Genomic DNA, 14,336 nt, shown 5'->3' on the forward strand with positions numbered 1-14,336 from the left:
AAGATTTATTAAGGTGCTCAATAATAGAATTATCTCCATTTCCTGATAGCATCCAATCCAAAGTGAGCAAACCCCCATTTCCTTGAACTCTCCCCAGATCACCCAAACAAAGCGCAAATTCTCTAAATCCTAATACCCTCTTACTAAGACACTCCACAATACCCCATGATGTGTAGTCTCCCTTGTGGCAATGAACAAGGAACCCAGCTTGTTCAAGTGCAGGTGAATTCCTGGTGATATTTGGCTGGGGGTCATTAACAAAACTTTTCCAGAATATTATGTATTGTATGATTTGATTTATAGTACATAGAGATGTGTATAGGTTTATGAATATACAATTATGTATGTTATTATATATAATACATACCTATTTGTATTGTAAATCCACACTTTTTGTCCTTTTGGGGCTAGGATAATCAAAAAGTGGCTGCTAACAGTGCCTACCCTTAGGGAGTAAAGACATATTGGTATATTTGAAGGAGAGCCTTCACTTTTCACTCTACTTTTTGAAATTTTATTTTTCGAGACAGGGTCTCACTCTGTTACCCAGGCTGGAGTGCAGTGGTGCAACCATAGCTCACTGCAGACTCAACCTCCCAGTCTCAAGTGATCCTCCCACTTCAGCCTCTCAAGTAGCTGGGACTACAGGAATGTGCCACTACGCCCTGCTAACTTTTTAAAATTATTATTATTTTGTTAGATACAGAGAGTCTCACTATGTTGCCCTGGTTGGTCTCAAATTCCTGGGCTCAAGCAATCCTCCCACCTCATCCTCCCAAAGCGCTGGGATTACAGGTGTGAGCCACTACACCTGGCCTCAACTTCTTTTTTTTTTTTTAGACAGAGTCTCACTCTGTTGCCCAGGCTGGAGTGCAGTGGCGAGATCTCGGCTCACTGCAGCCTCCGCCTCCCCGGTTGAAGTGATTCTCCTGCCTCAGCTTCTCAAGTAGCTGGGACCACAGGCACCCACCATCATGCCCCGGCTAATTTTTTATTTTTAGTACAGATGGGTTTCACTATGTTGGCCAGGCTAGTCTCAAACTCCTGACCTCAAATGATCCGCCCGCCTCAGCCTGCCAAAGTGCTGGGATTACAGGCGTGAGCCACTGCACCCAGCCTGAAATCAATTTCTTTTTACTCAATTATTCCTTTGCATTCCCAGAATAAAAGACATAATTTGTAAAATTAAGGGAAATAATTAAGTATACTTTATTATTTTCCTGACATTTCCAGAGCTTGTAACAGGAATTGTTTCGTTGCAAGTATTAGAGATGTGCCTGTCTACTCTGGTGAAAGAAATGAAGGGCTTATCATCTTAATGTGCAGGAAGCCCACAGGTAAAGAGTTGTGATAGGCAGAATTCTAAGATGGCCTCCAGCAGTCTCACTTCCTGTTATACATATGTCATTTGAGTGTGGACAGGACCTGTGAATATGATAGGATGTCACTCTCATGATTAGGTTACATTATATGGCAAAAGTGAAAGGACTTTGCAGATGTAATTAAGGTCCCAAATCAGTTGATTTGGAGTAAACAAAAAGGGAGATTATCCTGGGTTAACGGACTTCATCAGGTGAAATCCCTTAAAAGAGGAGAGAAATTCCTGAAGAGAGAAAGATTCTACTGTTGGCCCTAAAGATGCTAATAGCCATGATATGAGCTATGGAGATCAAGGTCCTAAACTAGTTGCTGACAAGTAGTCTCTGACCAACAGCCAACAAGAAAACAAAATGGAGACCTCAGTCATACAACTGCAAAAAAAATGAATTCTTCCAACAATCCAAGTGATTTCAGAAGCTGATTCTTTGCCTAGTCAAGCCTCCAGATGAGAACGCTGCCTGGTTAACACCTTGATGATATCCTTGTTAGACCTTGGGCAAAGGCACTGGTCAAGCCATGCTCAGACTTCCGACCCAAAGAAACTGAAATAATAAATGGATGTTGTTTTAAGCTGCTAAAGTTGAGGTAACTTGTTATACAGCAATATATAACTCCACAGTCCAAAGACAATATGATGGTTCTTGAAAATAATCAGTGATCCAGGCAACACCCATTGCATCTGACTTCCATCCTCGGTGTCACCCCAAAGTGAAAAGAGGGTGATGGAATTCCAGCCACAATACCCAGGTTCTAGTCAAGAAGAAGGGAAAGAAAAAAATGTCAGAGAAGTTTGTGCCAGTTGTCTGTCTCCCTTGTAAGTAGTTTTCCCCGAAGACTCACATGGCAACCTCTACTTATCAGCCACTTCTAGCTATAAGAGAGGCTAGAAAACAGAGTATTTTAGCTGGGAATATAGCCAATAGGTAAACAAACACAAATATCAGGATTATATTAGAAAGGAAGAATGAAGTCAAGGGAACAAGGACTTTTTTTTAAACAAATAGCAATCTCCTCCTCAGAGAGGAAAAAAAATAGGAAAAATTTTCCTCACATCAATCTTTTAATGTGAGTTTTTGTTTTAAAAGTTTCTGATAAGAGAAAATTTTCAAAGCAGAATGCTTCTAGCAAACACAGAAATATATTACAAGACATGTCAGCTGTGTGCCTCTGATCAGAGTATAAAGAAAGAATTCTAGTCAATACTAATGCTCTTAATCTAGCTCCATCTCCTCTGACCCTAAATGCTTCATACCCATCCCTGTCCTTAATGAAGCTATTTGCTCCCTCACTGGGTACATGTCCTGCCCTGTGGAAAGACTCACAAATATGATCCACAAAGAAACTGACTGATCTTTTCCCTGATCAGTGATGTTTAAACCCCAAATCCAAAACATGAAAAGAAATAAATCTTGTATTTAAACACATCCCAGTTAAATCATTTCCCTTCTTCCTTCCCTCTGCCTCACAGAAAAGTCTGTCTGTGGCTGATTGATTTACCATAGAGCTGATATGACTACTTGAAAATCAGATATTGAAGTCAGCTCATAGCAAATTAAGTTTATGAGGAAAAAGGAGTGGGATATGGACATGCTGGAGCCTCATTCACAAGGGCCAGAAAGAGAAGGTGGCAAACCTGTCTGGAAAGACTTGGGGTGCAGCCAAGTCTCAGAGGGAGTGCCCAATGGGTATGAAGAACTCAGATATGGATCAGGCTGACTCCAGGGTCCCGTGGGCCAAGAGAACAGGGTACCCAGGAAATGGTGTCTTTGTTCAGGCAAGCATTTGGGTGAACCAGCAGTTGATGTCTGAGGAAGTTCAGCCAAAGGCAGCAGGAGCCCAGCTATCTGGCTGGGAGACCATTTGATAATTCACCGAAAATTTGTAGAGACAATAGTTCACAGTAATGGTCCAGATATGGACTCTCTCCTCAAAAACTTTTTTTTTTTTTTTGAGTCTTGGAAGATGGTGGCAAACCCTATATGTAAACAAATTATAAAGTGATGTGTTGAAAAAAATAATACAGAGTGCTAGGAATTACAGAATTAATTTGACTTTGGGGAAAGCAAAATATAGAGATGTTTTCTGGGAAGCCTATCTTGGGATCCTGAAGAGTAGTATTACAAGATGGGAAAGTGCTTGAAATTGTAGTATTAGGCAATAGAAAATTCAGATTGGTATTCCCCAGTACCCACTGACCAAACACCAATTAGGCTGAGCTAAACTCCTTTTTTTCTCCCTTCAAGTACCTTATTTCATAAATACAGTGCTGCGTATTTGCCCTTTCCCCTTTATTGTAAAAATTATGTAATACTACTACTAATAACAATAACAAAGAACAGGACAACACAATGCAGTTTCTTTTCTATTTTTAATAGCTTTATTGAGGTATAAATGATACACAATGAACTGCCCATATTTAAAATATATAATTTGGTAAGCTTTGCCACAGCATACCCCCATTAAACTACCACAATAAAAATAAGGAATATAAATTAAGGAATATGTCTATCACTTCCAAAAATTTCCTCTAGTCCCTTTTTAATCTCTGCCTTTCCCATCTACCCTTCGCCTACTCCATCCCACAGTCACCACTCATCTGATTTCTTTCACTATCAGTTTGTCAAACACTAGTTTGTATATCCTAGAGTTTTACATAAGTAGAATTATAGAGTGTCCATTTTTGTTCTGGCTTCTTTTACTCAGCATATTGAGACTCACCCACCCATGTTAAAGTATGTATCAGTTGTTCTTTCAATTGCTGAATAGTATTCCATTGTGTATCATTTATTTTTAGGTTTATCATCTTTATTTCCTTTTCAACTCCTTCTTTCCTTCTTTTTTCTTATTATTGGCATGCTTATTATAGAAATCTTCATAATGGTACAAATGGGTAAAGAAGCAGGAAAAATCAATTACAGAAAGCTTTGGCATTAAATAACCAACCAACAAAACTAAACAAAACCTCCTGAAAACTAAAGAGTCTTTATGATTGTCAAAGTAGTAAATCTTTCTTAGAGTTATTTGAGATGCTTTGACAGATATAGAGGGGCTACCATTTCAGTCTGGGTGGCCTTGCCTAGAGCCCTCTAAACTGCACAATTTAGTGGCGCCTATTCAGTCTTCCAAAGACTGTCATGTAACATGTTTTGCTTATACAAATGATCTCAATGAAGGGAGATTATGAAATGAGGCAATATGTTAAATCTAGAAAGACAAGGGAAATACATTAAAAGTAAGGTCCTGGAAAGCCACAGGCTAACAGCTACCAATAATATTTTTTAAATGGTATTACCCCAAAGTGAATGTCATGAGAACTGAGGGGGAATGCAATTTTGATCACGTGTGTTATCAGGAGTATTTCTACTGTTGAAACACAAATTATTATTTTTTTAACAGTAAAAAATCCTTAGGTGTTCTCCATCTGCCGTGGGAAACACTCCGCAGCTGCTTCTTTAGCCTAGCAAAGATCAACCTGACCTTGGCCAACCAGCTTGTACTTTGAAGAGTGTATTTTGTGAAACCTGTGAGTAGAGAAGGATTCATGCTTGGCAGAATTTGTTGTCTCTTTTGCTCAGTATCTTACCATGATTAATCCCCAATCCATCTTTCTCTGCTGCTGCTGTTGCTGCTGTCAGACACATATTTCTTCTCCATAACAGACGCTGTTCCAACGTTGCTGGATTCTGGCTGGGTGTGACCTTTTATGGGGCACTGCTGCCTCCTATCAGGCTTTTATGGGCATGTTGGTTTATGCACATGTGCAGGCATTCTGACCTTGTGACCTCCAGAATAGATTCTAAGAGAACAACTGTATCTGATTTTTCTGACATTTTGGGCACCCAAACTCTTCCCAAGTGCATAGGTACAATGAATACTCCCTTGTGGTTTGGGTTTACATTCTTCTCACATCAGAAGAACTCCTCTAGGAGAATGTGAAGCCAGATCAGAACTGCTAACATAACAACAGTGTTGCTGGCAGCCTTTCAAGTTGTTTTGCATAAATTTGAGCATGAGGCAGTGTTTTCACAACATCTTTCCCTTTTTATTGTGGTTTAAGTAAGCAGTGCAAATACTTGAATTACACTTTCTGATATAACCACGTCTGCAGAAAGGGCAATGGCTAACAAAACTCTGGAAAACTTTGAAACCATTTTTTAAAATTCCTTCTCAGATCTGGTCTTTTTTCTTTTCTGAATCCTGAATCTTATTGTTAGATAAACCTAGTTACATTAAAAAGAGAAATCCGTATTGTGATATTTCTAGTACTTTTAGTTTGTATTTTCTGTACTGACAGTGTACTGACAGTTTACTGATAGTGAGGAGTTTACAAAGGTGAACAGTCTAGTATGATTAAAGATGCGACAGAAGTTTTTAAAATTATTGCCAAATAAGCTGCTTTTCTACCATTAAAAAAAACCCCTCAACTCAGATTTTAAAGTTTTAAATGCCAAGTTAAAATAATTATGAATCTACTGTTCCCTAGTTCCATCCACTACCTATTTCGGATCTGGGTTTTGCCCTTAAACGCCTATTCTATCAGAATGAACTGGGTCACCACGCCCTATTTCTTTATGTTCCTCTTGACATTTACTCCATGTTTTCTTTTTCTAAATAAGCTTTCTCTTTCTGTTTTCAAAATTGAATACTTTTCTCATCTTAGCCAAGCACCTATTTTCACTCTTTCTTCTGCTAGCTAATAAAGTCACCCACACTCAATTCTTTCTCCAATACTATATTCAAAAGTGTGATTTTTTTCCATCCACTTACATTTTCCTCTGCTTTAAGAGCTCTACTCATGTTTCTTCCTCATTGATGGCCTAGCCTAAAAGAAAATGCTTGCCCTCACATGGTATATCCAAAGTCACATCAGATCTGCTATGGCTCGGGTATAGGACAACGAAGAGACGTATCACGTGACATTAGGGACAACTATACGAACACTTCAGAATTGGAAGAAACACATCGTCAAGACCTAAAAGATATGGCTTATATTTGTTCATACATTATATGAGAATCCAAAGTCAGTAAAACTATATAGAGTGGTTCTCATTGTCACCAATGGTTTGTGCAGCTTGTAACACGGAGAGTATAGAATAAATCTAAAGACTGGGCCAAGAAGATAAAATAGCACATTGTGCTATGTTCTGAAGTGAGACATAAAATAATTTGGGTCCTGATATTTAAGTGAAAGTCAGGAGGATTCTACTTATGGGTAACGACATAGTTTCCGATTCAGCATTACTGTTCAAGATGCAGGGATCTTCCTGGGCTAGTACATGTATCTGGAAAGAGGAGGGAGAGTCTTAAAATATAGCATAGCATCAATTTAGCAACATTCAAGTAATGGCACACATCATATGATAGTTCAGTGTGTTTATAACTAGACTGAACTCTCCAATAATAGAGTGATAGCTACATATGTGTTACACATACATGAATCCTATTATTACTATATTTTGGTAATAGGTCCTTAAATAGACATTATAGAAAGTAAAGCAGCTTGTTATATTTGCTTTTCCATTTTTTATAAATTAGGAGGTGATGAAATTATCTACTTATATTAATTTCAATATATTAATATTTGCATTTAAAGATCAGCACAATATTGTTAAGCTACAAAAGTTAAACCATACTTATTCCTTACACATTGCCTAGGACTTATTCAGGTTTTATTTCCTGCTGAAATGATGTGACTGAAGGTTTCAGAATAATAAGTGGTAAAACACACATTGACATGCACAACTGTAAAATGTGCACTTTGTGCACAAAAAGTTACAAAAACAAGAGTATTTTAAGTTATCATTAACCCAAAGCAACCTAGTTATGGACCACCTTGCTTGATAGGATTTTAGTTCATGAAGCTTCAGATTTTGTTCTCTTGATAAAAGCACCCTTGAATATCATTTTTAAGCCTGACAATTATTTTCTTGTAAAGAGGGTGTTATATATATCAAAAATAGAACTTCAAGTTTTCTATAGAATTACCTTGTAACGTTAAATGATGGTATCATTAGCATATAATTATAACATATATAATTATACATAAATGATATGCTATATACTTTCGACATCTCTTATGTATATGACTGTCAGGTATAGACTATCTATTAACAAAGCCAGGTAAAATTAAAGTAGACCTATTATCATTATTACCTTTTTAACTTACGATTTATTCTTCAATTTTGGATAGAATTTTGTACAATGGAAGCATACTAGAAGTAAGTCAACAATAGACAGTTAAGAAGAGGCAACAAGATAATTGTTCCATCTTGCCTGGTGAACTCTTAAGTCAACAAAGGAGCCCGCCCCTCTGGCTAATCACCCAGTGTGGGTTCTGTGACTGACAGGAGAGCAGAGAAGTGCATCTCTGCTGCGGGAGTTCTCTCCTGTTTTCTAATTCAAACATTTGCAGCACAAAGTGAATAAACTTGAATAATGCCAACTAAGAAGTAAGGTATCTGTATTTTGGGGTGATATTTAGAATTAAGCTAGTCATGAAAATATTCTGTACCAATAACTGTGCAGTTATCGTTTCCGCACGCTGCCAACAAGGCAGACAGATGCAGAGGAAACGTCCTTACAATTTTCTGGAATGTAGACACGAAGCGCAAATTGAACCTCTGGCAGATGGCAGAAAAGGTGACTTGACAATGAGTTTGAAACAATTAAAGTGATATTCTCATTCATTCATTTCCACAATTTTATTCATTTCGAGGAAAGCCCAGAGGATTGGAACATGGATATAAAGGAGGACAACCTAAGACTGCAAGTTTCATCTTCCGAAAGGCTGCATTTATAAGCAGGCTGCCAGAGGCTGCGCTTTCTTTCTCACTCTTTGCATCCAGGAGCCTGGAGGATCTTGCTGCCTACCCCCCGCCCCACGCCAACCCCATGAGACAGGGACACCGCCGCCCCTTGTTTAGTAATCCTCGGGTTGTCTGATCACTATCCTCTAGGCCAGCGATTGGATTCACCTCTTCTTTCGCGTACTTACGGGCAACCGAGGCCATCCGAGGCCCTGGTCCCGAACGAACTTGAGTAGCGAGAGATTCACAATAAAGAACTAAGTGTGGCCTCCCAGGGGCTGCGCTCGCCATCCAGGGACTGAAAGAGACCTGCGGGATGATTTTCTGTTTTCCTCTAGCAGGAATCAGAACAAGGGGCGTAGATTCGGTTCAATTTTTCTGCTTCGGTCAATGGGAAGATGAAATAGAAAAATTCTCTTTCACTCGCAACACGGAGACTTAGGGGGCTGTCTAGCTAGAAGGTTGGCAAACTGCAAAACGGCGGGGCAGGGGGCCAAGGGGACGGTTGGGGTCTCTTTGTTTAGCTCTTCTCTCATCCCAGGACTCAGGCTAGGCTAAATTTCTAGCGCCGTGTGTGCTTGAAAGCAGACAGGTGGGATTCTTGGAAAGAACATACACAACACAGCTTCTGAGCCCCAGAAGGACCTTAAGACAGGAGTTCCTGAGCCCTGAACAAGAGGCTACCTAGGGTAAAGCGATTGATCTCCGCGCGGTGCGGCTGAGAAGAGAAGGCGTTGTTGACCTTTCGGGGAGCAAGTTAATAACTCAGCCGAGTTGATGAAGTGACGTTCTTTCTGAAAGGGGTCGTCTCCTGGGCCCCTTTTCTCAGTCGGCATTTAGCAGGTAGGGAGGCAGGGCAAATTCTTCTCTCCACGTGAAGTCACAAAGAATTGATGAGTTTCAACAGCATGGATCTGAAGTCGTAGATAATTCTAAACACACCCGCGCCAGAGTTCACACTCTTGTTCATCTCTGCGGAGTTGGAGCAGACAGCGACCTTCAAAATTGTCCCTAAAATCTCTCTCGAACTGACCGGGCATTTACTGGGATTTGAGGGGTTTTTCTTCAGCTTCCAAACTACTGTTACATGCAGAATATACTGGTAGATGCCACCAATGATTGCCCACCTCTCTTTAAAAGTTGCCCCGTCCACGCACCATTCAGCTTACACTAAACTGTCCCGACATGCCTTAGCCGTCAGTTTAATTCATAAAGTAGCTGTAACTCTTGACATCACCTCCGCAGCCCACCCGAGGACTCCTTCCCAGGACACCTTATGAGGCTGTTTTCCGAGGGCTGAATTCTGAGACTTAAAGGAAGGTTACTTGAGGCATCCTGGTATATTTCCGGGCTTCCAACTCCCTCCCCTGCTTGGCTGGTAATTTTCTGCTGCTCCTCCTCCTCCCCCACTTGACCTCCTCCGAGGTACCTTCGCCTCCCCTCCCCCGCTCGTCCCCAGTAAATCTCCAGCGGGTGGGGGAAATCAATCCTTTGGCGCTAAAGCTAAACTCAGAGCTGCCCGTTGGACAGGATTGCAGTGGGGTAAATGGTGTCCGTCCTTTCAGAAAGAATGATCAACTACATGGAGGTAACTTGCTCTGGGTTTCCTGAGATCTCGGGCGGACCCGTCCGTGTTTTGCCAGATTCAGTGCAAATGTAGATTTCAGCTGAACCGGTCAGGACTTGAGAGATAGCTGTTTCACTCTCCGGACTGCAACCACTTCCGCGAGAATCTGATACATTTAATGAAAGCTTTGCCAAATGTACGGGTCAGCGCGTCCTTGGGCCACCACCACTTGGGTCAGCACACTGCACTCACTAGCGCCAACCTGGGCTCCACGCAGCAGAACTCGGTTAAAAATCGTCTGTTCCTGGTCACTTAGGAGTTCTAGGGGGCAGGGGGAAGCAAGAAAAAGGTTTCACTTGACACTGCCAGCCGCTTTTGATAAGTCATAGTAAATACTTTCAGAAGCACAATTTTAAAGGGAGAATACAAATTTCCGTCCTCGCTTGGCCGAACGCCTCCCTGCAATCAACTGCGGACCTTCGCATGCTCAGGACTGAACTGAGGTTTGTGGTTTCGCAGCTGCCCCGATGCCGGGAGCATGAAATTCTATCTCGGCTGAGAACCGAGCAACAGACCGCACAAGAACGGTGCCTTCTGGCCTGTCGTCTGCCAAGAAATACCAGGAAAGCTGGTGTCAGAAACAACTACCTGAACTCAGAAAGTAAGGCTAGGAAGCTCTGCGTGCAGAGAAAATTCTTGCTAATTCACCCAGACTGTTTTATCTGGTTAATAAAGCAATTGACACTCAACAAAACCACAATCGCAGCAGGAGTCCTAGGCATCAGAATAAGAATCACAACTAAAGGTTTGTTGTTGTTAACAACTGCCTTTATTATCATTGCTTAGTATTTTTTTAAGTAAAAGGAAAGAAAAAGAGAATCATTTCATACCCACTGGTATCTCTTCCTTTTCTCTGAAATTAGAGCACAGATTCTCCTGATTGTTCCTCAATAAGCCACCACCACCAACGGGAAGAGACGCAAATTGGTTCTAAACACCCACACCCCGTTCGCGGTGGAATATAAATGGTTAATCGTAACTCCCTTTAAACGCACATAATTTTATCTGACCCTTGGACATGATTAAAGATACTGAGGATTTATATAGCCTTATTCTACATCATTAGAGACTACACAGAAAAGATAAAAACGGGAAAGGGGATACATACGCATCTACTCAATATCCATTTTTAGAGGTAAATAAAATCTTCCTGTTTCATTTTGGCCCCCAAATTATATGATGTGGACATCAGAAAATATAAATCCTTCAGTTATACATATTTTTTCATCTGAATACCTTACTCAGTAAAACTGGCAGTGTAACTTATTCTACTCTTTCAAACCTGATTCTGATGTGAGCTAAACATATAGCATCATCTCCCTGGGAATAAATTCTCAAATTTATACCTCCATTGGAAAGCTGATCAAAGCCCCTCTTCCCTTCCCAGTCTTGGTTAGATGAGAAGGAATAAGCTGTCTTACTGTTTGTGATTTCCCAAAGAAACAACTTAAAATTCATTTATATCTGCCAGAGGTTATTGGGAGATAAATAAATGCTAAATGTGTAATTTTACCTTTCAATTGCAATTAAAACCTATTTAGATTTTTGAAATGTAGCTTGAGAGCATGATGTTTGTGCAGGAATCTGTATCTGACATTAAGTTTGATGTGGAATGTTTAAATGGTAACTAAAGCAGAGAAAGCAACAGTACACAAAAACACAAGTCTAAGAGCCCATCAGGAGGTTGGGTGTAACAGCCACATTTTGGAAGGTGTATACAAGGGCACATGGGCAGATGCCACAGACTCCAGAGGAACTTAAATTTCAGTATCCCTTTTATATTGAAAGACACTGTCAGATATATTGAGGCAGCCTGGAGGTGATGGGGACTACACTTAATAACTACTCATACTCCTCATTTTCTCAGTAAAGGAATCAAACCAGAGATTCACACTATTGCCGTTTTCAAGGATATATTTTTGACCTAACAATATACAAAGGTCAAAACGAGTCCTTTTTTGAGAGGAGAGGGTCTAATCCCCGCTTTGAACACAAGAGGTCGCTCCTGTGATCAAGTATTACGGATAAATTGCTCATCAGTTTTATGTATACAAAATTTTACAGATATATTTGATGCACTAAATCCACATACAGCAATCAGCTGAGGAAATCATAATAATCCATGATCAATTTAGAACTTCAAGGTAAAGTAAAACTACAAAGCCTGCTATTCTAACTTGGATTTTAATGCAAAATGTGTCATGATACATGCACTGAACTTCAGAGCATGTCCATCATGGTGGGGTCCCTCAAACGTCTCCTTTTAATGCTGGTATCTTCACCATGCGTCTTGCTTCTATCAGTTTAGGAACTTATTAAGAAAATACTTGTTTACAACAATGGTGCAGAATGAAAAGAGGAAAATGTTGTCTTCACCATTAAGGTGAAATTGTCTATTACTAAAGGTTTCCCCCAAGCCGCATGCAAGCTTTTCTACTTGGAAGTGCTATCATCTGCAATAATTCTTTGTAATAGCTTATTGGTTTAGGGAGTTAAAATACCACACTGTGGGTGGGAGGTGGGGGCTGGTTTGAAGGAGGATGGATAGTGAGGGTGCTTTGTGGATCTCAAATGTAAGTCATCAGGCTTCTGGTGGCTTCTGGTGTTTAATTCCATCTTATAAAAGTGGCATGATGGAATATGACTAGGTAAAACTCTATTTTCTGGCATTGTGGTGGTATCTTTTTTTTTTTTTTTTTTTACTAGGGTCAACATGTTTATCTCTATGGGAAACACACACAAATACTAGGAAGATTTGCTTCGTATTGAGATTAACAGCATCAGCTTTGCAAAAGCAGCCTGACAAAAGGCTCCATACATCTAATACCAGAGACTAGAAACAGACCAAAAAAAAAAAAAAAAAAAAACACACACCACACAACTGGTAAACTTATCAACCTAGGTCTATCCAACTTTCGCTTTCATACACGCGCTCTAAAACAACTTATAATAAAAATGGAAGGGAAGACAGATCCAATTTGAAATCCTCCTTGAGAAAAAACAAATCAAAACTAGTTCCTGGGGAAGAAAGCCTCAGCTAGGTCAGGAGGAAACTTACGCATCTTTGATTCCCTTTCCGCTTTGGAGAGGCATTACCCGTTCAAGCCCAGCCAATGCGGCCGGCCAGGATTTACAGCTCTTATCAAGGGTTAGATTTTGCGAAAGATATAAAGAAAGGAGTTTCCTAACACACCGGGTCTTCTCACAGCAACAAGACACCGAAATTAAGCCTTCTATGGTTTGTGTCTGTAGGACTTTTTAGATAAAACTGGCAGCCCCATTAGATAAGAAATGGCTTTTTAGAAGCTTTGGGGGAAGCGCGGGGGTTCTTCGTGGCCTTCCTGTGACTGTCTTTGGGAGACCGTAACAGATGATGGGAACATGTAAGAATGATTGAAGAAGGTTACCGGCGAGTTGCACCTAACAGTCTTCTCTCTCCAAGTAGTTTCTCGAGAGAAAATTATATATTAACGCCTGGGGACGTGAAATAGGTCTTTCACTGTTCTGTAATAAATCCCTCCCTACTCGCGCCCTTAGACTAATGCATTTTTAAAAAATCTCCACAAAGTCATGGAGACTTGTCCTTATAATTACCAAAATACCACAGCTAGTTGCACAAGTTTGCTTAAAAACAAAGGGCAGGAGACCAGCAGTGAGAAGAATTGAACAGTATATAAAAATCTTACAAACTTTAGACTACTGAAAGATCATTTCGCTCTTTGGCTTCGGGTTAGTGAGCTTCAATTCTAGAGTTAAACTGAGAAGCAGACCTCGCGGGTCTGAAAGACAAAAAGTCAGTCCGCGGAGTCAACTTCGGTTTACCGGTGCGTTCCAACCTGATTGTCCCAACAGCAAGAAGCGCCCCTTTCCTCCCACCCAACGTTTTTAGATATCTGAGGTTGGGGGAGACGGAGTAATGGTGTAGCAGTCAGGAAACAGTTCCTCTGGGTTTAATCATCCCATTCCCGATTCTTCTTCCCCTAGCGCGCCGAGCGCAGCCAGTTCTGGAGGAACTAGCCCTCCGGAGCAGCCAAGGCAGGCCAGGCCCCGGGGATGTGCACCACGGCGTGGGGACCAAACCAAGCTGAACGGCCTGCTCCAAGTTCCCCCCTTTTCCTAGAGCCCGGGAGGGACCTCGTCAACAGGTAGACCTACCCACCAGCCACTCGCCACCGGCGGCAGAAAGTGAGCCCCGCGCGCAACGCGGCCAGCCGGACTGCGGGGACCCCAGGAGCGCAGGGCGGAGGAGCAGCGCCACAGGAGGCGAGGGCGCAGGCGGCGCGGCCGGGAAGGAACGCGGGAGGGGACAGAAGGAAGAGGAAGAGGAGGAGAGGGAGGCCAGAGCCAGAACAGCCCGGCAGCCCGAGCTTCGGGGGAGAACGGCCTGAGCCCCGAGCAAGTTGCCTCGGGAGCCCTAATCCTCTCCCGCTGGCTCGCCGAGCGGTCAGTGGCGCTCAGCGGCGGCGAGGCTGAAATATGATAATCAGAACAGCTGCGCCGCGCGCCCTGCAGCCAATGGGCGC

General features: G+C 41.5%; 1 long non-coding RNA gene across 1 annotated transcript; it reads right to left on the reverse strand.

The window, feature by feature from the left end:
• Positions 1–3,734: 3,734 nt before the first annotated feature.
• On the reverse strand, positions 3,735–14,331 carry ISL1-DT (ISL1 divergent transcript). Its single transcript, NR_046243.1, has 2 exons — positions 13,973–14,331; positions 3,735–10,074 (listed from the first exon to the last, which is right to left on the reverse strand). It is a non-coding gene; the product is annotated as an ISL1 divergent transcript (long non-coding RNA).

The sequence above is a fragment of the Homo sapiens genome, chromosome 5 (genome assembly GCF_000001405.40).
Source record: "Homo sapiens chromosome 5, GRCh38.p14 Primary Assembly".
Taxonomy (NCBI): domain Eukaryota; kingdom Metazoa; phylum Chordata; class Mammalia; order Primates; family Hominidae; genus Homo; species Homo sapiens.